Source organism: Homo sapiens, chromosome X (assembly GCF_000001405.40).
Source record: "Homo sapiens chromosome X, GRCh38.p14 Primary Assembly".
Lineage (NCBI taxonomy): Eukaryota > Metazoa > Chordata > Mammalia > Primates > Hominidae > Homo > Homo sapiens.
In genome coordinates this window covers 16,024,472-16,048,821 of record NC_000023.11, presented here as the reverse complement: position 1 = coordinate 16,048,821, position 24,350 = coordinate 16,024,472, and the positions used below count along the sequence as shown (strand labels likewise).

The following is a 24,350-nucleotide window of genomic DNA, read 5'->3' as shown; positions in this document are numbered from 1 at the left end:
CACCTGTCCCCTCAGTCCCAACCCCAAGTGTTGCTGAGTCTTTCTAATCTTCCTTTTCTACAGACCTATCTGACCTCTCCCCTCCTCTCCAGGCCTAGCTAGGTCCCAATTCTTCCTCAGCCTCCGCTCCTCCACCCTAAAATCCTTTCATCACCTCCCCTCCTCACACCCAGTCCGGCTTACAGTTTCATTCCGTGACTAGTCCTCCCCAACCTGCCTGGTACTTTACTCTTAAAAAGGTGGCTGGAGCTAAAGGCATAGTCAAGGTTAATGCTCCTTTTTCTTTATCCCAAATCAGATAGCGTTTAGGCTCTTTTTCATCAAATATAAAAACCCAGCCCAGTTCATGGCTCCTTTGGCAGCAACCCTGAGACACTTTACAGCCCTAGACCCTAAAAGGTCAAAAGGCCATCTTATTCTCAAAATACATTTTATTACCCAATCTGCTCCCGACATTAAATAAAACTCCAAAAATTAAATTCCGGCCCTCAAACCCCACAACAGGATTTAATTAACCTCGCCTTCAAGGTGTACAACAATAGAAAAAAGTTGCAATTCCTTGCCTCCACGGTGAGACAAACCCCAGCCACATCTCCAGCACACAAGAACTTCCAAATGTCTGAACCGCAGTGGCCAGGCGTTCCTCCAGAACCTCCTCCCCCAGGAGCTTGCTACAAGTGCCAGAAATCTGGCCACCAGGCCAAGGAATGCCTGCAGCCCGGGATTCCTCCTAAGCTGCGTCCCATCTGTGCGGGACCCCACTGGAAATCGGACTGTCCAACTCACCTGGCAGCCACTCCCAGAGCCCCTGGAACTCTGGCCCAAGGCTCTCTGACTGCTTCCCAGATCTTCTTGGCTTAGCGGCTGAAGACTGACGCTGCCCGATTGCCTCAGAAGCCCCCTAGAGCATAATGGACGCTGAGCTTCACGTAACTCTCACAGTGGAAAGTAAGTCCGTCCCCTTCTTAATCAATACGGAGGCTACCCACTCCACATTACCTTATTTTCAAGGGCCTGTTTCCCTTGCCTCCATAACTGTTGTGGGTATTGACAGCCAGGCTTCTAAACCTCTTAAAACTCCCCAACTCTGGTGCCAACTTAGACAATACTCTTTTAAGCACTCCTTTTAGTTATCCCCACCTGCGCAGTTCCCTTATTAGGCCGAGACACTTTAACTAAATTATCTGCTTCCCTGACTATTCCTGGACTACAGCTACATCTCATTGCTGCCCTTCTTCCCAATCCAAAGCCTCCTTTGTGTCCTCCTCTTGTATCTCCCCACCTTAACCCACAAGTATAAGATACCTCTACTCCCTCCTTGGTGACCGATCATGCACCCCTTACCATCTCATTAAAACCTAATCACCCTTACCCCGATCAATGCCAATATCCCATCCCACAGCATGCTTTGAAAGGATTAAAGCCTGTTATCACTCGCCTGCTACAGCATGGCCTTTTAAGGCCCATAAACTCTCCTTACCATTCCCCCATTTTACCTGTCCTAAAACCAGACAAGGCTTACAGGTTAGTTCAGAATCTGCGCCTTATCAGCCAAATTGTTTTGCCTATCCACCCCATGGTGCCAAACCCATGTACTCTCCTATCCTCAATGCCTCCCTCCACAATCCATTATTCTGTTCTGGATCTCAAATATGCTTTCTTTACTATTCCTTTGCACCCGTCATCCCAGCCTCTCTTCGCTTTCACTTGGACTGACCGTGACACCCATCAGGCTCAGCAAATTACCTGGGCTGTACTGCCGCAAAGCTTCACAGACAGCCCCCATTGCTTCAGTCAAGCCCAAATTTCTTCCTCATCTGTTGCCTATCTCAGCATAATTCTCATAAAAACTCACGTGCTCTCCCTGCCGATCATCTCCATTAATCTCCCAAACCTCAATCCCTTACAAAACAACAACTCCTTTCCTTCCTAGGCATGGTTAGTGCGGTCAGAATTCTTACACAAGAGCCAGGACCACTCCCTGTAGCCTTTCTGTCCAAACAACTTGACCTTACTGTTTTAGCCTAGCCCTCATGTCTGCGTGCAGTGGCTGCCGCTGCTTTAATACTTTTAGAGGCCCTCAAAATCATAAACTATGTTCAACTCACTCTCTACATTTCTCATAACTTCCAAAATCTATTTTCTTCCTCACACCTGACGCATATACTTACTGCTCCCCGGCTCCTTCAGCTGTACTCACTCTTTGTTAAGTCCCACAATTACCATTGTTCCTGGCCCGGACTTCAATCTGGCCTCCCACATTATTCCTGATACCACACCTGACCCCCATGACTGTATCTCTTTGAACCACCTGACATTCACCCCATTTCCCCATATTTCCTACTTTCCTGTTCCTCACCCTGATCACGCTTGATTTATTGATGGCAGTTCCACCAGGCCTAATCGCCACACACCAGCAAAGGCAGGCTATGCTATAGTACAAGCCACTAGCCCGCCTCTTAGAACCTCTCATTTTCTTTCCATCATGGAAATCTATCCTCAAGGAAATAACTTCTCAGTGTTCCATCTGCTATTCTACTACTCCTCAGGGATTATTCAGGCCCCCTCCCTTCCCTACACATCAAGCTCCAGGATTTGCCCCCACCCAGGACTGGCAAATTAGCTTTACTCAACATGCCCCGAGTCAGATAACTAAAATACCTCTTAGTCTAAGTAGACACTTTCACTAGATAAGTACAGGCCTTTCCTACAAGGTCTGAGAAGGCCACCGCAGTCATTTCTTCCCTTCTGTCAGACATAATTCCTCAGTTTAGCCTTCCCACCTCTATACAGTCTGATAACAGACCAGCCTTTATTAGTCAAATCAGCCAAGCAATTTTTCAGGCTATTAGTATTCAGTGAAACCTTTATATCCCTTACGGTCCTCCGTCTTCAGGAAAAGTAGAACGGACTAAAGGTCTTTTAAAAACACACCTCACCAAGCTCAGCCACCAACTTAAAAAGGACTGGACAATACTTTTACCACTTTCCCTTCTCAGAAGTCAGACCTGTCCTCAGAATGCTACAGGGTACAGCCCATTTGAGCTCCTGTATAGATGCTCCTTTTTATTAGGCCCCAGTCTCATTCCAGACACCAGACCAACTTGGACTGTGCCCCAAAAAACTTGTCATCCCTACTATCTTCTGTCTAGTCATACTCCTATTCACCGTTCTCAACTACTCATACGTGCCCTGCTCTTGTTTACACTGCCGGTTTACACTGTTTCTCCAAGCCATCACAGCTGATATCTCCTGGTGCTATCCTCAAACTACCACTCTTAACTCTTGAAGTAAATAAATAATCTTTGCTGACAGGACTATGCTGAGCCTCCTTAGGCACTCTCTAATTAGATGTCCTAGGTCCTCCCAATTCTTAGACCTTTAATACCTGTTTTTCTCCTTCTCTTATTCTGTTTAGTTTTTCAATTCATACAAAACTATCCAGGCCATCACCAATAATTCTAAATGACAAATGTTTCTTCTAACAGTCCCACAATATCACCCCTTACCACAAAATCTTCCTTCAGCTTAATCTCTCCCACTCCCACTCTAAGTTCCCATGCCGCCCCTAATCCTGTTCAAAGCAGCCCTGAAAAACATCGCCCATTATCTCTCCATACCACCCCCCAAAATTTTCACCGTCCCAACACTTTACCACTATTTTGTTTTATTTTTCTTATTAATATAAGAAGACAGGAATGTCAGGCCTCTGAGCCCAAGCTAAGCCATCATATCCCCTGTGACCTGCACGTACACATCCAGATGGCTGGTTCCTGCCTTAACTGATGACATTCCACCACAAAAGAAGTGAAAATGGCCTGTTCCTCCTTAACTGATGACATTGTCTTGTGAAATTCCTTCTCCTGGCTCATCCTGGCTCAAAAAGCTCCCCAACTGAGCACCCTGTGACCCCTACTCTGCCTGCCAGAGAACAACCCCCCTTTGACTGTAATTTTCCTTTATCTACCCAAATCCTATGAAACGGCCCCACCCCCATCTCCCTTCGCTGACTCTTTTCGGACTCAGCCCACCTGCACCCAGGTGAAATAAACAGCTTTATTGCTCACACAAAGCCTGTTTGGTGGTCTCTTCACACGGACGCAAGTGAAAAAAAACCCTAACCTCTGAGCCTTCAGGGAGACTGATTTGAGTGATAACTCCATCTCTATCATGGCCAGCCTCATGTCAGTTAAAATCTTTCTTTTTTTTTTTTTTTTTTTTTTTGAGACGGAGTCTCGCTCTGTCACCCAGGCTGGAGCGCAGTGGCGCGATCTTGGTTCACTGCAAGCTCCACCTCCCGGGTTCACGTCATTCTCCTGCCTCAGCCTCCTGAGTAACTGGGATGACGGGTGCCCGCCACCACGCCAGGCTAATTTTTTGTGTATTTTTAGTAGAGGCAGGGTTTCACCATGTTAGCCAGGATGGTCTCGATTGCCTGACCTCGTGATCCACCCAGCTCGGCCTCCCAAAATGCTGGGATTACAGCCATGAGCCACCGCACCTGGCCTAAAATCTTTCTTTACTGCAATGCCACAGTCTCAGTGAATTGATTTTGTCCATGCAAAGTGCAGGACAAACCTGTTGGGCAATTACATTTTACACTGCCAGATGTCATTCTCCTGGTGTGTTGGTTAATGGAAAGGTGGATTCCCCTTATGGGCTAGGAGGTGAGGAAAGCGTCAGCATCAGGATAGAGAAACATGTCCAAAACAGGTTATCAAAGCCAAGGAACCCAAAGCAAGAACTAAGGAACCAGGGATGATGAAGATATGAGGAACAGGTCCTAACAGGCAAATAATAAGAGTCAAAAAGTCTAGAAAGAGGAGTATAGAGTTAAATCCTTCTGTTTGAATAGGTTATAGGGCTCCATTTGATAGAGTAATAGAAAACCATATGAGGACTTTGGAAATCTAGGTAGATATTTGCTCATTATTGTTGTGTTGGCAAGATGACATGAAAAGATCATGAAACTGAAGCCATTAATGGTATCAACAACATCAATAGACACTTATCCATGAATCATTCCAAGAACAAGTTCCCCACCCCTCAACACACATACCCTTTATTTCCTAGACACAATGATGAGGTAATTTCAGAACACATGAGTAGCTACGTAGTGGTGGCTTTAAAGACTAGGCTTCTAATTAGTGGCCTATAAAAATGTTTTTGTTTCACTCTCAGTTGTCTCAAGACCACTTACTCATTCATATTGAGTATCAGCCAAGACTCTTTTCACTGCAAAAAAAACTAAAATCCAAATCAAACTATCATAAACAAGAAAAGGGATTTATTAGTTCACCTAGCTAAGAAGATTCTGGGATAGCTCACAGAACTTAATGAGTAGATATAAAAGTCAACACCAAGGAGTTGTCAGAGCTAGGGCATATGAACTGTGGAAGATAAAAAATAATTTTCTTTCTACTACTCATAGTGCTTAGTTGGGGTAGACCCCTGTAACAAAAGACAGATTAAGAAGAGAAAAACAAACAGAAGTTTTTTTGTTTTTTTTTTAAACATGTGGACCTCATGTATACACAGGAGACACTCAGAAAAAATGGGTAAATTTCTAAGAGGTAGCCTTGAATTCAGGCTTAAATACCAACCTCCACTGAAACAAAGAAGGGTATAGAAAAGGCCGGTTTTGAGGAAATAATCAGGAAAAGTCTGATAAACAAAAGCAAAGTTTGTTATGCAGATTTAAGTTAGTGCCTTCTCCATTGATAAGAGTATCTAGTGATTTAGTCATTCTTTTCTTTCTGGTAGAAAGAGGGAAACACCCTTACAAATGGATATTTCTTTTATAGATGTAAATTTCCCTTACAAATCTGTAACTTCTACTCTGTTTTCAGAGCTTCTCCTGTGTCTGCAGTTTCTCAAAATAATCAGCTCAAAATAATCCCTATGCCAAAGAGTCATATTTTGGGGTGGCATATTCTGGTTTCCTACAGTCATATTTTCGGGTGGCATATTTTTGGTATCCTACAAAAGTAAAGATTGGGAATTATGAAGTCAAAGAACCAGGGATGATGAAACAAAGAGGAACAAATCTCAACAGGCAAATGTAAGAGTCTAGAAGTTCAGAATCAGGGCCTGTAACCAAGAACTTGGTGCCCTCTGGCTTTCCGTCTATCCTTCATCTTTGCTATCTCTGCTTCTCCTTGTGTAATGGTCCCATTCTCTCCTACTAAAGGCAAGCTTCCTGTACATGGTACATTAAAGACCTTTCAACAATTTCTGGCATGCATCCTAATATAAAATTCAAGAAGAGTCATCCCCCCCACACACATACACTTTGAATCTAAAAAATTCTACAGAAAACTCTAATTGGCCTACCTTGGGTCACAGGCCTACTGCTTAGACCAATCTTTGTGGCCACTGTGTCAAATGCCCATTTCTGTGGCAGGGCAGGACAATCTACTGTGATAAAAAATTCTACTAGAATGCATGGAATGGGGGAGAAATTCCCCTGGAAGAAAGAGAATGCTAAACCAGAGGCGGGGATATGAAAGGATCATGGGCAAATGAGAATAATAGCTATCTGAGTCCTTATACACCTTCCATCCTCCATATTATTGAAGAATGCATTGTTCCTGAGGGCAAGCCACATTCAACTATTGACAACAATGGTATGAAACCATTTTTCCAGTGACATCATTTATTTACAAACACAGCTAGACTAATTTTTTAAAGAAGCTAAGGATAGTACTGAAAACATAATAGAGCTTAATATTTTCATGCAATTGTCAGTGCTACAGTGGTGGTGCAGAAGTATAGAACAGAAAATTCAAAGCCGATTGAGACCTCTCTTTCAACCCTTCATATTATAGGTGAGAAATCTGGGGATCTAGGGAATTCTGTGTCTGGACAATTCCTCAGGCTTGCAAAGAAAAAGGACAAGATCAGAATATAGATCTTCTGTAATCCAGCCTGGCACTCTTTGGTGAGAAATACATCTAAATACAAATAACAGGACTATGTTTTCCACTTTTAAAATAGAGGAATGCAGAATGTTAGCTTTCTCCGTGAAGAATATCTGCTTATCCACAGAAAATTTCATTTTCTCCCGAACAGATGACCACCAAAAAAATGTTGTTTTAAAAGAAGGAAGAAGATTACATGAAAGATAGAGGTTTACATAATTTTAAATTAGCTTGAATTATAAAATTTCCAAAAGAAATGTTTTATTTATATTTAAACTTTCTCATGACATTTTTTGCAAGAGAAATACATAAAAAATTTAAATCATATGATGTCATCTACACATTGAAAAAGGAAAGTCTAATATAATAATTGCTTCTCTGTGACAAGGAAGAATAGGTGAGAAAAGAGTATAGAAAACAATTTTTTTTTCCTGAAAACTTGAGTAAGATTTACCTTTGGTCTATTTTATTTAATGTAATTTTTTAGATAAGTTTTTTTTTTGTCTTTTGTTTTTTAACGTGATGTTTTAATACTTCAGGCATGGTTTCTGGCATAGTAGAATTAGTTTGAAGTTAATAATGGTCCAATTTATACTCATGTCAATCACAAGGCCTCTTCAATTGAATTAATGATTTTAAAATTTTCATCAATGTGTGAGGTCTTTTAAAGGATAAAAAGATGATTGAATTGAATTGATGATTGAATTAATGATTTTAAAATTTTCATCTACGTGTGAGGTCTTTTAAAGGATAAAAAGATAAGATACCCACACATGCATCCAACCAACATATATTAACTGTCAGCTCTGTGTTGGGCACTGAGATAGGAACAGGGGGTAAAAACAATGAGTAAGTGTAATAGACCTTCAAGAGCCTGATAGTCAAATATAAGGGGCAGACAAGGGATCAAAAACAGTGAAATACACTTAAAAGCACAGGAAGGCAGAGAAAAGAGATCCTAACACTGCCTCAGTGTATAAGCTTCCCAAGGTTTGAGACCAAAGCTGAGTCCTGAACAGAGATTCCTGAGGTAAATGTTGTGGTGCCCCACTCACATCTCTTGATCATCATTCTGTGCAGATGATCTTTTTGTGCAAGCACCTAGACTTTCTGCTTTAGGGCTTTCTCTATCCACAGACACAAGCTTGGTCCTCACACCAGATAGGTAGGGAATACAAGGGAGTTACAGCTGTGAGACGTGGACAAGTTACAGCCAGTGAAGAATGGGAGCTAGTCGATAAATATCCCAGCCTCTTTACCCTTTGGATGGGATAATGCCTTGGAAGCTCTCTGAGGGATCGAGCCCAGTTGTTCACAGGAATAATCTGCTCATTAATATACCTGATATTAGCTGCCTTTCTTTCCTATCTCACTTCCTTATGCTTTCCTTTCTGAAATCCTTGCCTCATAGCCTTCTTCTGGGGAGCCTAACCTAAGAAAATATACAAAGCAATGGGGAAACTTATTCATGAGATAAAGAAATGGTGGTGGTTGTAAGTCACTAGGTTTTGGGGTGAACTGTTATAAAGCAATAACTAACTGATACAAGCCAAAAATTAAAAGGAACTATAATTGAAGTAGGAGGAAAATTAGTAGAGCAGTGGTTCTCAAATTTTGTCTTGGATTAGAATAAGCTGGAGGACTTATGAAACACAGATTGCTGGGCCTTACCCATAGATTTTCTGATTCAGTTGACAGGGGTTAAGGTTCAATAACTTTCATTTCTACCAAGTTCCCAGGTGATGCTATTGCTGCTGGCCCAGGAACCACACTTTAAGAATCACTGCAGTTAAGTGTAAAGCCATAGAAGCCAAAAGAGAAAGTATTTTTTTTAATAGAGAAGTACTAAGCTCTTTATAATGCTGAGAGATTTAGAAAAATAAAGATCAAACAATGATGATTGGATTTCAAAAATTATGACCAATAATGACACTAACAACTACAGTTTCAGTGGGGTGGTGTGGTTTGAAGCCAGTTTGGCATAAGCTGAGGCCAGAATGGGAGGTGAGGAAGTAAAGACAGCACATAGATGCAGCTCTTACAACAAAATTGCCAGGAACGAGGAGTAAAGGGAGATATAGAGTTGAAAAGGTTTTAATTGGGGGTAGTAGGAATACTAAAGTGTATTTCTATGCTCATGACAGAAATCCAATGGAGAAGAAAAAAGTGATGTAGGAAAAAGAAAGGCTAATGGCAGAAGCAAAGTCCTTGGGGACAGAGCCAGAGCACCTTTGATAAAAGAAATCATACAACTTTCATTGTAGCAGGACAAAAGATGACAAATATAGAAAAGATAGTTTCCTGTCTAGTGACTTCAGCTTTCTCAACTAAGTATGAGATGTCATCAGCTGAGAGTGAGAGCAGGGAAAGGGGTACAGAGGTGCTAGAGGAAAAGATATGAGACTGCCATCTCTTAAATGAGAAACAAACCTACTTTCTTTTTGAGGTGAATGTGTCCATCAACACAAATTTCACTTAGAGATAAAGATATAAGACATTGACATGGGACATTTATTCAATGCATACAATTTGCACACCTTGTGTCCAGGTGAAAATGGAATTCAGTATATATGTTAATATATTGGCACTCAATAATTCTCCAGTTTTGCTTTGCTTTGAAAAAATTCTGGATGTTTGCTTTGAAAATATTCTGGCTAGAAATGCATAGGAATTATTTACAAACGAGGATGGCTGGGAATTGTTTGGGATGCCATAGGGGAGAAAAAGTAATATATTTTTCCTCAACCATAGCAAGGTTCATGGCTGAGATTCCTATAATAAAAGACAGATTAACAAGAGACCGGTATACAAATTTATTTAATATAAGCTTTATGTGACACAGGAGCCTTCAGAAATGAAGAGCAAGAAAAAAAAAAACAGAGAAACCTGTGTATTTCTATGAGCAGTCATGCAGAAGTATGAATGGAGGACAAAAGGATGTGGTCTAATAGTAAAAAAAAAAAAAAAAACAAAACTGTGGCGAACTTAGCAAGGCCTGTTTGTTCAGATTTTTCTTGGCATCTCTGTGTAGGGCAGGATACCTGTCACATAAGGGCCTTCAGAAAGAAGAGAGGGAGGTCAGAGAGTGGCCTTCCTAGGTTTTATGATCTATTTCAGGGAAGAAAGATGAGGGGAATGTAAGAGTGACCGTTCTGCTTCTCCTGTTTTCTCAAATGCCAAGATGCCATATTTTGGAGTGGCATGTCAAGAATCCCATCAATGGTATGGAATGATTCTGGAATATCATCTGAAAGCGGAATTGCAGTCTACTGTGTCTGGTGGACTATATTAGCACCCAGATTACAACCACGCCACAAATTTTCATTCTAGAGAGGAAGAGCTTTCAGTTTGGACTTGAAGAGAATTTTAAGATCTCTTAGTGATCCATGAAATATGACTATTATAAAGAACGTCTTATAAAAATTGTTCACCCAAAACAGTTTGTGTGAGAACTGCCTAAATGTAATGTCTGGTATGTTTTCACTGGTTGATTTTTTATAGTTGCCTTGGTTTTATTTTATTACTTGGAGAATAGTGTGTTTTCTGGTTATCTCTGATTTACTATTTTAGTTTGCTGGAGATTTTGAGAGTGCTAGGTGAAGTATTATTGTATATTTTTAAAGCCAGTGGTGAGATTAAAATTAAGCTAGAAGTTAATAAATGTATACTCAGAGCTATGAAAAAGTTTCTTTTGTCACTAGTCTGATCTAACAACGAGTTCGATAGAGGTCTGTCCTTTTGCACTGGAGAATTCTTATGAATTCTTTTTTATGCTTTTCTAATGCTCCACTCAATAATTTAGTGCCTTTACATCTTGCCTCCCAAAACCAATCCAGGGCTTCTTTGCAGTAAGGTGGTACCAAATCTTGTGTGGTGCAGTAGATGGGGAGTATAGATAGAGAGAAATCAGATGAGCCAGAAAGTTTCCCATTACAGAAGCCCAAGTTTCTAAATGAATTTTCTAAGGAGGTATAAGAGAAAGCTATAGAATCAATCATTTGAAAATGCAAAAATAAAAATAAGAGTTAGGTATGCTCTCACAACTTCTTCTTAGAAGCATTTACCACAATTGTAATCAATTAAGTGATTATCTAATCATTTGCTTAATGCCCATCATGTACCGTTAGACTGAAAGTTCTATGATGGCAGTATAATATCTATTTTGCCCACCACAATATCTTCAGACCTTAGGATGGTAGCTGGCATACAGACACACAATAAATATGATAAAAGAATAAGCAGTGAAGCTATTCTGGTATAAAGAAGGCTCTGATTCTGATATAAAGATATCTGATATCCTGATATAAAGATGGCTAAGCAGACCACTGAATGAAAGACAAACAGTTGTGCTTGGAAGGAGAAGGCTAGGAATTTACAAATTGTCTTATGCCATTTGTCTTACTCCATTTTATGCTATGAAAGCAGAATGCCACAGACTGTATAACTTATAAAGAACAGAATTTTATTTGGGTCACAATTCTGGAGGCTGGGAAGTCCAAAAGCATGGTGCTGGCATCTGGCAAGGGCCTTCATGCTGTACCATTCTATGGGGGAAAGCAGAAGAGCAAGAAAGGGCAAGAGCAAGAGAGAAAGAGAGAGCTGAACTAGCTTTTATAACAAATTCATTTTTTGCAATAACAAACCCACTCCTTCAATACTGGCATTAATCAATTCATGAGAGGAGAGCAGAGCCCTCATGTCCTAATCACTTTTTAAAGGTTTCACTCTCAATACTGTTGCACTGGGGATTAAGTTCCCAGCACATAAACTTTGGCAGACACATTTAAACCATGCATGACATCATTCAAAATTCAAATATCTAGAGCAGGATTTTTACAATTCCCAAAACTAGTATTTTCCCCAACTATCATTATTATCACCCTCTATTCATTTATGAGGATTTTGTTCTGTTTCCCAGAGTAATTTGGCCCAAGGTTTTAAATGAGAGAATGACCTGATCAGGTTTGGATTGTTAAAAACACACCTGGATAATACATGGAGTATGTGAGAGAAACTTGGAACCAAAATTCTTATTCTTTTTAAAATCTGGCCTCTATTTTTCCTATTTCTAAGCTTTTGCTCATATTATTTTTAACTAAAATGCCTGTATTAGTTTGTCAATAGGTTTGGCTACATGCAGTGACTTACACAATGAGAGTTTCTCTCTTTGTCATGAAATAGTCCAGTGGTAAAAGGTCCAAGGATGATGTAACAGATCTACTTCATGAAGCCACCCAACAGCCACGCCTCTTCCGATTACCTTCTGTGATACCTTATGCTGTCCTTATCTTCATGGTCTAAGATGGTTTGACACTACAATCACACTCTAATCGATAAGATGGAGGAAGATGAGGAAGGAGATGGATGAGAGTGCACCACCTTTCTTCTATGGATAGATTGCATAAGTTTCCATCTTTCTGGACAGAATATTGGCCAGAACTTAACCACATGACCGCATATAGCAGCAAGAGAGGCTGGGAGAAATATAGTCTTCATTCTGGGAGGACATAGGACTGGCTGAATAAGAGGGGCGGATTCTGTTCATTTGAAAGGGTAGACTGAATATTGAGTGACAAGTAGCCATCTCTGCTATGCTATGTTCTTTTCCTTCTCAAACTGTCGAAATCCCTTCTATCATTCAGAGTCTGATCTAGCTCAATTTTCATCCTCCATGAAGCAAATGAGGGGGTAAGAAGGCAACGAGTAGAGTGCCAGGGAATAATAAGCTTGTTTTCCCTGAAGTTGTGTTTAAGACACTGGCAAGCATGATTCAGAGATCTAAAATCAAGATTCTGGGGACAGTGAAATAAAAATAAAATGACAAATTTTGAACTCCTTTAAATATAATGTTGATCTTATGTTTTTCCAGATGCCTCTCCCCACTTCAAGTAATGGATGACAGCACATAGGTATGGCTTTGCCAAACACATACTCTCAAAATTCCTTTCAGCTCCAAAATTCCATGAGCCTTGGTGTATGAAATAGGAAAACCTCAAAAAACTCTTACCTAACACAGATCAAAGTGTGTCAGTCATGACAGAAAAACAAAAGCCCAGGTTTTAAGCAATAATGCATTTTAAACAAAGTGTTTTTATAGAGAATCTAACCCCACCATCCCTAGATGTCGCTTGTTCTGTCCTCTTGCCCAGGGTTGGGAAAAAGTCCTCCAACTTTCTCCCACTTGTGGGTTTGTTGTTGTTGTTGTTCCTAAGATTGGAAACCAGCTGTTATCTCCCCTCTGTCTTGGTTCCCATGTTTCCTTTGTCAGTCCTCTAGAAGTGCCTTGGGGAAGCCAAGCAACCTCCTGGGTATTTGTAAATTCTAGGTGGATACACAGACTAACCACATGGTAAACTTGACCAATTCCTGTAAGTATACTTATTTAGGGCTGATTTGAAATACTATTAAAATACCTTTATAGTTAATCAACACTATAAAAAATAGTGATCGTCAGGATCAAATAATATTTAGTGAATTTGTTATATAGGGTATTTTAAAAAAAACTAAAATACTCCCCATGTTTCTTCCAAATCAAATAGGAATTGATAATGGAGTATTCTCACAAAATTTATATTATTTTAAACATACACTCATTTTTAAAATGAATACTCGGGGGTTTTTTTTAAGCGAAGCCCAAGTGAAGGGAGACAGAGCATTGTGTGAACTGCAAAAATTCAGCCTATAAAGTGAAACTGCAGAGATAAAGGGATTGAGTCTTTTAAAAAAATCCCAGTTTGTGTATGAGCAATCAGAGGCTATGATAGCAGATTTTAATATAAAGATAGGACCATGGTAAAATGCCTCCTTAAGCCTATCCCCAAAACATATCAAATGCTGACCCTTTATTCCTATGTTGATAGTTCTTTCTCTAGAGTCTAGATAACAGCCTTGCTGGAATAAGGAAAAATGTTGACTGAAGCTTTGCAGGGTTATGTGTGTGGAAGGGGTGAAGGAGCTATTGTGGATGAAGTTGTAGGCCAAGGATTCCAAAACAAACAAACAAACAAAGAAGTACCAGACACAGTGGCTCATGCCTGTAATCCCAGCATTTTGAGAGGCCAAGGCAGAAGGATTACTTGAGCCCAGGAGTTTGAGACTAGCCTGGGAAACATAGTTAGATGAGACCCTGTCTATACAAAAAATTAAAAAATTAGCCAGGTATGGTGACACACACCTGGTCCCAGTTACTCAGGAGGCTGAGGCAGGAGGATTGCTTGAGCCCAGGAGGTTGAGGCTACAGGGAGCCATGATCACACCTCTGCACTCCACCCTGGGCAACAGAGAAAGACTCTGTCAAAAAAAAAAAAAATGCAAGAAGAATGAGATGATTAAAGTAGGGACAAGTGAAATATAAGTGGCTATCAGGGCTCATGAAATAAGCATTCTGAAAATTTTAAATAGTGAAAAACAGAGACTTCTTATTGATAAATAGATTTATCTAAGAAATATACTTGTTGCAGATTTGGGCAACAAGAGTCATCATCTTCATTTAAGAACAGTGGGCACTAATTTTTGAACAGTGACTTCAGGCTAATTTATTTAAAAAGATACCTCAGAAGAAAAGGTAGTTAACGTGGCACATTGATCTCCCTCTTTTAGATTTAAAGAGAACTTGCACAAATTTTTATATGTTGGTGGAGGTTCTTGAGATGATTGAGTTGTTTACTAGACTTGCCAGTTTGGGGTGTAGATGTGGGTAGCATACGTACAAGCAGAGTGAAGGACTGGATAATCAAAAGAGTAACTCTCACAGCTGCTTAACTTCTCAAGGTGTCTTATAAAGCAGACAAGTGACTAGACTCTTCTCTCAGCCACACTGCTCTAGAGAAATGTGTCCAAGTTCTACTTTTTTATCACAGTGGTTCTGGTCCTCTATGTTCATAGACTTCATCCACCTCTGTATGGGAATCTCCTGTGTCCTGATTTCTCCCAGTTCCCAGCTGATTTCTGATTTTTCCAGCTGATTTCTCCCCACTTAGGACTAGGATCCCATGTGTCCCATTAGCAAATTCTAAGTCCTGATCAATGTATTAAAACTATGAATAACTGTGTTTTTCATTTGCACTTTGTCAACTTTAAATAATTAGATTCAGAAAATATGATTAAGTATAGAGTTTATTCAAGTGCAAAGCTTAAGGATAGCCACCTGGGTAATACAGATTCTAAAGGAACGGGGTCAGTGCTCCAAAGTGAAAAAGTTAAGGTTTCACTTACATAGGCAATTAACAGGGTTACAACATTTTCTATACGAGGTTGGTATAAACATTATAACAATTTGATTGGTTACAGCTTGCTACATTCCCAGAAAGATTGCTTTAACATGCCATGAGGAGGGGTGATGATCTGAGGGGGTATTTATCTCTGATTCCACAAGGCCTTTCCTAATCACTTACAGGAAAAAGCAGATGTTGCAGCTGCATGCTGTGTGACTCAGGCCACACAGCCACATTATTCTCAACGCTCAAAATAAAGTCTCAACAGCTCTAAATTTGAATCATTTAATTTCACAGTTTTTATCAGCCCAATTCACCACAAACCATAATACTCATCGTTTTGGTGCTGAGTGAAAAGTAAGCATTAAGAGGTAGTTAACTTCAGCCGGGTGCAGTGGCTCACACCTGTAATTCCAACACTTTGGGATGCCAAGGCGGGAGGATCACTTGAGGTCAAGAGTTCGAGACCAGCCTGGCCAACATGGTGAAACTCTGTCTCTACTAAAAATACAAAAATTAGCCGGGCATGGTGGCACATGCTTGTAATCCCAGTTGCTCAGGAGGCTGAGGCATGAGAATAGCTTGAACCTGGGAGGTGGAGGCTACAGTGAGCTGAGATTGCACCACTGCACTCCAGCCTGGGTGACAGAGTAAGACGCCATCTCAAAAAAAAAAAAAAGAAAAGAAAAAGAAAAAAAGAGGTAGTTAACTTCTTTATACAGCTCTTTCTTTCCACCAAACTCCCACCATTAGCTCCTCTTAATCCTAGAGAAATGAGAGTTGCATACTATACTTTAATTCAATTCAGTATAAATTAATTTGGGTGGGGGAGGGCATCTCCATAAAGGACACAATTAAACAATTAAAGACATAGGGGCTTATGAAAGGGTATGACATTTAAATTTTAGTGCCGAGTAATACTCCATCTAGTCTAGAAGGTAACTCAAATGTCATAGAGATGAGATTCATAGTTCCTTCAAATGAGAAGGAATCTTGAAGATTTTTTATATAAACTTTACCACCAACACTGCCATTTTTCAACGTATTACTTATTTGAACCACTAAACGTTTTTTCATGATAGGAAACATTGTAAAGAGGTAGACTTTTCTAAGCGTTTACACAATTAATACACTTTACATTAAAGAACTTAGTAATATTAGAAATTCATGAGAAGAAAAACACCAGAAAAGACTGTTTAGTATTACAAGATGTGCTGAATGACAAGGAAGAGAATCGTTAATAAGATTGTACTATGCTCAGTTAAGAAAAAAATTCCTCATAGTTTAAACTTCCTTCCTCCTTTCATCTCTGAGGGAAGAAAATTTAATATATTCAGGTACATTCTGTTCCATCTGTGTGCCGTAGATTATAAACTTAAGGCTAAAGGTATTCTGTAGAGGAGAAGTTTATATATATACATATATATATACACACACACACACATATATACACATATTTATGCAATTTTAAAGCAATTCAGTACATTATTTCCATATAGAATAACTAAAAGTAGAAGGGGAAGTGGAATTTAAACAAAGTAGGACTGATTGGATTTTACGCTTTTTTTTTTTTTTGCAGGGGGGACAGGAAGTAAAATTGAATTACAGACATTTAAAAAAGTATGCATATATGTGATGGGGGAACTTTTCAAACTACTAAGTCACTACTTTATTTTTATTTATTTATTTATTTATTTATTTGAGATGGAGTCTTGCTCTTGTTGCCCAGGCTGGAGTGCACACTGCAACCTCTGCCTCCCAGGTTCAAGCAATTCTCCTGCCTCAACCTCCCAAGTAGCTGGGATTACAGGCATGCGCCACCATGCCCGGCTAATTTTGTATTTTTGGTAGAGATAGGGTTTCTCCATGTTGGTCAGGCTGGTCTTGAACTCCTGACCTCAGGTGATCTGCCTGCCTCAGCCTCCCAACGTGCTGGGATTACAGGCGTAAGCCACTGCGCCCGGCCCTAAGTCACTGCTTTAAAACTATTCCCAAGAGTGAATTTCTCATGCTGAGCTTCAAACTTTATTTTAAATAGATACAAGTATAAAATAATGCCTTTCATAAAAGGCAAGGTGATTTATACCAGAACTTGTAAAGAAAACATGAGAAGAGGATTCTATCACCTGTTTTGGCATATACTGACTATGACCTAGTATGAACCTCTGAGCCCATCTCTGGGTCTTCACTTCTACACCCATGATAGGACGTACAATTTTATTATTTTTATTTTTGTATTATACTTTAAGCTCTGGGGTCCATGTGCAGAACGTGCAGGTTTGTTACAGAGGTATACACATGCCATGGTTGTTTGCTGCACCCGTCAACCCATCATCTACATTAGTTATTTCTGATAGGAGGTAAAATTAAAAAAAAAATCTAAGGGCCAACATTTTCTTTAGACACTTTTGTTTCATAAAATAATGGCCAGGTGGCACAAAGAAATGTTTACATTTATTGAAGAATTTATGTATAATATTATTTAAATTCTTTAATAAATGTTTTTCATTTAAGTCCATTGGGTCAATGACATGTGTGATAAATTTGCATGTGCATGTGTATGTGTGTGTAAATAGCTAGTTCATATATCCAGTCTGAATAACTTGATATGAATCCTTGCAGTCATGTGTGATTGGCCCCCTCTATTTTCCTCATTCCCACAGTCAATTCTTCCGCGATTCCTAGCAGCTCTACATTCAGACAGATCTCATGTCTGACCTCTTCTCACTGCCTCTATTGTCAACATAATCATCAAAGTCCACCAACTCTCTCCTGACTGCCAGAGTCACCTCATTGGTTTTCTGCTTTCTTTTCCTATAACCATGGTCTGTTTCCTGCAAAGCGAACTTAGAGAACTTTGTAAAACCAAATCAAACCACGTCACATTCCTGCTCATAATCCTCCAGTGTCTGTCCCCATCATATTCAGAATAAAATCCAAACTCCTTCCCAGAGCTGAATAGTTTTATATAAATTGTCCCTTCCCTTCTCTTTGACATTCTCTTATTCTGCTCTAACCACCCCACACTCACCCCTCTGTTCATCCTGGTCTCTGCAAGTGCCAAGCATTATGTCTTAAGAGATGCTGTCCCTGGCCACCTTACCAAACACCAGTTACACATTCAGTGCCCATGTCATCTTGCTTTTTTAAATAATATTTATTACCTCACCTTATATAATTGTTTCTCTTCTCATGGAATTTCTAATATTACTATATTCTATATTGTAAATTTATTAATTATGTGACAGCTTAGAAGAGTTTACTTCTTTACGATATTTTCTAACATGAATAAAAGTTTAATTGCTCCGATTAGAGTTTAAAGTAGATAATTGGTCTCCATTTATTTCTCTCTCTCTCTCTCTTTTTTTTTTTTCTTTTTAGAAACAGGGTCTCATTCTGTTGCCCAGGCTAGAGTGCAGTGGTGACATCATAGCTCACTGCAACCTTAAACTCCTGGAAAGCAAATTCTGTGAGGACACAAACTTTGCCTGCCTATTTCAATGCTATATCCCCAGCACATATAACAGTGTCCAGTAGAAAGAGAATGCTTAATAAATATTGGTGGAATTAATTAATTAATAAGCAAATATGTATATACTCACATATGCACTGACCATGAGGCAGTTGAAAACCTGGGTTCACTACCTTTGGCCACGTCCATTTACCACATTCCATACAAACATTACCACTTTCTAGTTTTACATGACGTGAAAATGGCCTCCTCCTGTTGTAAGACTTTTTCTTTAGTTCAGCTACGAGCCGGGTTATTGTCACATGGCCATGAGAGATTAGGCTCACAGACACTTTGAAGGGTGAGAGTAAATGGAATTTATTGGACACAAAGTGGAAAAAAGGGAAACAGGGACCCTCTACAAAGCCAGAGTCCTGCTAGTGTGCTTCCTGCCTCGCAGATTGAATCCCAGGTTCCACCCAGGAAGAGGAGGGGCCAGGCTCCTCCCCCTGCAAACACACAAACTTCTGTGGCTCTCCCAGTGCACAGGCTGGTTGGAGTTTCTCTGGAGATCCTGTTGCACCGGGCTGTCACACTACCATGTAAAGAAACTATTAACACACTTAATAGTTTAACATAGTAGTAACAGCAAGGACCCTGTTATGAGAAGCATGCACCAGGATCTATGGGAACATACATGGGAGATACATAACTCAGACTAGTGCTGGTGTGGAAACAAGAAGAGATGGGTCACGGGATCTTCTGAGACATCCTGAAGCAGTACCTCAAGGAGCCAGGTGAGGTAAAGTGAGAAGCAAATTTCAGCATAGGAAAGAGAAAGCAGACAATTTGACAACCAAGTTGGCCAGCTAGTGGCGATGTCTCTCCCAAAACTGAGAATACATTCAGAAAAGTGGGTTTGAGGGGAAAGATGAGGTATTCAATTTTGATCAGTTTTTCTGCCTTTGCACAATGTACCAGTTCAATGGTGTAGCTGATCAGTGCTCTAGCCAACTACAGCTCTGGAGAATGAAATCCTACAAAAATATTTCTTAGTTCTTCATGTGGTAGGCCCATGAGTCATTCATCTTGTAACCTTCATGGCTTAGCACAGTGCCTGCCACATAATAATATTTGTTTAATGTCTTTAATTGAATTACATTGAATCCCTAATACTGTTACTGAAATGCCAGAGGTTTGGTCTAGGTCCCCTTGCTTGCTGCACAGAAAGCCAGTCACTGAGACAATGAGTACTGCCAGGGAAGAAAGGCTTTATTCAGGTGCTGCCACCAAGGAGGTAGGAGATCAGTCTCAAATCCATCTCCCCAGCTGACTAGAATTGGGGGTTTATATAGTGGAGAAGGAATGCAGCTACATAAGGGGAAAACAGGAATTAAGGAGGTAAGGAAGTAATCATGACAAATGAAGGGTCTGGTGTCTCATTGTCTGGATGCTGTGATCTGGTGAGTTTCAGTTCCTTGATATTTACTATCTGGAAGGCCTGAGGGTCGGTTTCCTGAGGAAGGAACTCATATAAGACAATTATAAGTTTCAAGCTTTAAGACCAGGGGGGTCAATTCCTATGTTTATTTTAAAAGACCATAAACATAAGTTCTATGGGACAGTTCAGTATAGTTGCCCCTTGATATCCATGGGAGATTGGTTTCAGGACCCCCATGGATACCAAAATCCAAGGACACTCAAGTCCCTTATATAAAATGGCATGGTATTTGCATATAACCTATGCACATACTCCCATATACTTTAAATTATAGAGATTTTAAGTAATCTCTTTATAATTTAATCTCTATACTAAGGAGTTTATAAGTAATCTCTAGATTATTTATAATACCTAATACAATGTAAAGGCTCTGTAAATTGCTGTGGTAACAGAGATCTGAGTTACCCTGAGTTACTGGCAGTGAATCTGTATGAGTCCACAGCAACTTCAGCCCTTGTCTCCTCAGAAGAAAGAGTTCGACTGAGGGCCATAAAGCAGAGAAAGACTGAGGCAAGTTGCAGAGCAGAAATGGAAGTTTATTTACAAAGCTTTAGAACAGGAAAGCAAGGAAAACTCGCTTGGAAGAGACCCAAGTAGTGCCTTAAAGTCAAGGAGAGAAAAGAGATCCCTTTAACCTTGACCCTGGGACTTTACAGGCTCGCCTCTTTCCCATGATTCTTCCCTTAGGGTGGGCTTTCAGCGTGCACGGTGCCCTCCTTACCCTTGGGAATTGAGCATGCGCAGTGTGTTTAGGGAGTTATACGTATGCCCATCTGAGGCTTTCTTCCTTTTCTGGTGGCGTGCGTCCCTGGAATGTCATACTTTGTCATTTTGTCTCAACACGCATGGCCAAGAAGCTGCTTCTCCCTGGGGCCTGCATTCAATTAACACTTAATGTTAACAGGTGTGGACCATCAGGAGCTCGTCTCTCCCTGGCTGCCAAATTGTCATTTTTAGAGAGGCAATGCAATAATTGCCAAACCATCACCCTACATTTCTAGTGGGTGGGGGCGAGAGCCCTCTCCTGCCCCCTGCTCATGCCTGTCTAGCTATAACAATACTATGTTGGGTTTTTATTTGTATTATTTATTATTGTATTATTATTTTTATTGTTTTTTTTAAAAATATTTTGCTTGAATCTATGGATGGAGAGCCCACAAATACAGAAGGCCAACGGCATATGCATGTTCATAGGCTTTTTGGTAAAGTTTTCATTAATTCTCAGTTGACGATTTAGTTTAGTTGATGGTTTTCTCTTCAATTCTTTATTAGAGGCCTCTAATAACATTCTGAGCTTCTCTTCTCATGCTTCTACACATTCTTTCCTCCATGCCAACAAGGGCCTTCCATATTCATAAGTAGAGATTTTTATATGAATACTTATTCTCTTCTGATTCAAATATGTGCCAAGTACAAAGATCTGGCTCTAGAACAGGGATATGTACACCTTTTTCTACAAAGGGCCATACAGTCTCTGTCAAAATTATTCAACTCTGTCATTGTAGCATAAAATCAGGCACAGACAATACATAAACAAATGGGCATGGCCTTGTTCCAATAAAACGTTATTTTTGAAAACAGGGCCGGGTGCAGTGGCTCACGCCTGTAATCCCAGCACTTTGGGAGGCCGAGGTGGGCGGATCACCTGAGGTCAGGAGTTCGAGATCAGCCTGGCCAACATGGTGAAACCCCATCTCTACTAAAAATACAAAAATTAGCTGGCATGGTGGCACATGCCTGTAATCCCTGCTACTTGGGAAGCTGAGGCATGAGAATCGCTTGAACCTCGGAGGTGGAGGTTGCAGTGAGCCGAGATCGTGCCACTGCACTCCAGCCTGGGCAATAGAGCAAGACTCAGTCTTGAAAGAAAAAAAAAAACAGGTGGTAGGCTGCATTCAGCCCTCAGGCCATAGTTTGCCAACCAATGCTCTAGAGTAATGTGAATACAAATACATATATACATACATATGCATACAATGCAGTTAACGTATAGATACATATAAATTATAAAACAGATCTTCAGCAATTTTGAAGAAGAAAAAAGATTTAGATCATCTACTTACAGGATTGAAAGAAAACCTTTTCCAAACTGGACTACATTCATTTTTCTTTTACTAACATACTTAACAACATCAAATTCATAGCACATCCTGTGAGAAAAGATCAGAGGTCATTTCTGACCTTCCTCACTGCCAACATTTTCTGATGTTATTGACAAGTGTTATCCTCTCAAAAGGCTGCAGCCTAAATAATTACTTTCATCTTCGTTTTCATGAACAAAGTTAATACCTAATTAAAATGCCAACCCAATTAAAGATGAAAATCTTGTCAGTATTTATACCATTGAAAAAAAATAACCTCTCAGACTTGAGTGAATTGTATAGTTTTTAAAGAAACCAAAATCTAATATTGTTTGTGAAGTCGCCCACCAACCAGGGAGAAGGGACTGAGTCACTTGGATCTGTTTCTTTCTGAGCCATAAAAAGGAGCTTAATGTTCTGGTCAGGAACCACTGAAACTTAGTATTGATTTTCCGTGCTCAATTTCTCTCCCAAGTCTTGGTCTTCCACCTGAAGAAAATTTCATTACTATCAGGAAGCTTGGGCAAGTCAGAATGAACAGCAGGAAACTAAGTTCTGTAAATGGCTTCAACCTCTTACTTCCATTTTGTTAGATTAGCCAGGCTAGTTTTCTTAATTAGAAGCTGGTGCTTCACCTTCCTTAAGAACAATAAATATAGATAGTGGTTTGATGAATTGAAAATTACCTCTTATAGTGAATAATTAACTGAACATCCATGGACAAATTCATGACATTTTAGATCTTTCTTTCCAGTTTTTCAACAGCCTTCTCTCTAAGTATTTGATTTGTTGATATCTGAGGCTCTTCCCAATTATTGGCAAAAACAAATTGGCTCAATGACAATTCAATCCTCTGTTTTTTTGTGTGTATAGAGTAGAAACTCTTGAACAAACATGCTCTTGATCACATCTCTCCTATAAGAAGGTTGGAATTAGATTGGAAATTGTAGGAATGGTCCCAGCAGGACAGTAGGTTTTAGGAAAGCAGTAGCAAAAACTCAGAAAGGAAAACCATATTCGCTCACTTTTCTCTGGGTTTTCAATGTGACTATTTTTTATTATTGGTAGTAGTAACTGTGAATTCCCTGGTCATTAGACAAACTCATATTCAAATAAGAAATACAAAATTGAACAGATTATAATTAGTGACAATTTTAAAGATATATTCCTGATACTTAAAAAATACGCAGTGTCAGTGAATGTTAACTATGTGAATACTAAGCAACAAATGATTCTCATATGCTGTTGGGAGTGAATATTGATACAACTTTTTTGGGGAGTATTTGGACAATATAAATCAAGAGTGTTAAGATTATTCTGCTCTTTTGATCTGGCAACTAACTCACTTCTTGAAATTTATACTAAATGGGCCAGGCATGGTGGCTCACACCAGTAATCCCAACATTTTGGGAGGCCAATGTGGGAGGATCACTTGAGTCCAGGAGTTCGACACCAGCCTGGCCCATATCGTGAGACCCTGTCTCTACAAAAATAGAAAAACTTAGCTGGGCATGGTGGCACATACCTGTAGTCCCAGGTACTGGGGAGGCTGAGGTGGGAAGATCGCTTGAACCCAGGAGTTCGAGGTTTCAGTGAGCTATGATCACACCACTGTACTCTAGCGTGGGTGACAGAGCAAGACCCTATGAGACCCTAACTCAAAAAACAAACAAACAAACAAACAAAAACAGAAGGAATTACTTGGCCCTAAATGTCAGTAGTGCTAAGGTTGAGACAGCCTGCTTATGCTGGGTGCAGAGCTATTGCCTGAAAGCATCTCTGAGATACAAAATCACCCAAAAACTGAAGTTTTCTGCTCACTTGTTCATGAAGCAACATAAAATCCATTCAGCCTCCTGGATTCTCACTACATTCCTACAAACTTTCTTAAATGGAGTGGGGTGACCATCTTCCCCTCCTCCCTCAGCACTGTGGAGTTTACACACACTAATGTCATAATATCCGTCTACATGGAAGCCTGGTATAGACATGCAGCATTAGTCATAGAATCCCATAGAAGCTCATCAGTGCCTCCAGCTGAATCTCCCTCTTTGTTCTGATTTAAATAAAGCCTTTCTTTAAGAGCTCTTCTCAAAGCAATCCGATGAAATGCTACGAAGTATACCAAATCCAATTACTTTCTGCATTCTTGCCTAGTATTTGGAAAAACCAATCCTCCCTAAG

At 39.9% G+C, this 24,350-nt stretch overlaps 2 annotated features.

The window, feature by feature from the left end:
- Positions 731-1,231: an enhancer, noted in NCBI's record as "H3K4me1 hESC enhancer chrX:16065714-16066214 (GRCh37/hg19 assembly coordinates)". NCBI's record gives its function as "activates a minimal SCP1, AML or CMV promoter by ChIP-STARR-seq in primed H9 embryonic stem cells {active_cell/tissue: H9 hESC(primed)}" and the evidence as "EXISTENCE:reporter gene assay evidence [ECO:0000049][PMID:30033119]".
- Positions 5,591-6,133: an enhancer, noted in NCBI's record as "OCT4-NANOG hESC enhancer chrX:16060812-16061354 (GRCh37/hg19 assembly coordinates)". NCBI's record gives its function as "activates a minimal SCP1, AML or CMV promoter by ChIP-STARR-seq in primed H9 embryonic stem cells {active_cell/tissue: H9 hESC(primed)}" and the evidence as "EXISTENCE:reporter gene assay evidence [ECO:0000049][PMID:30033119]".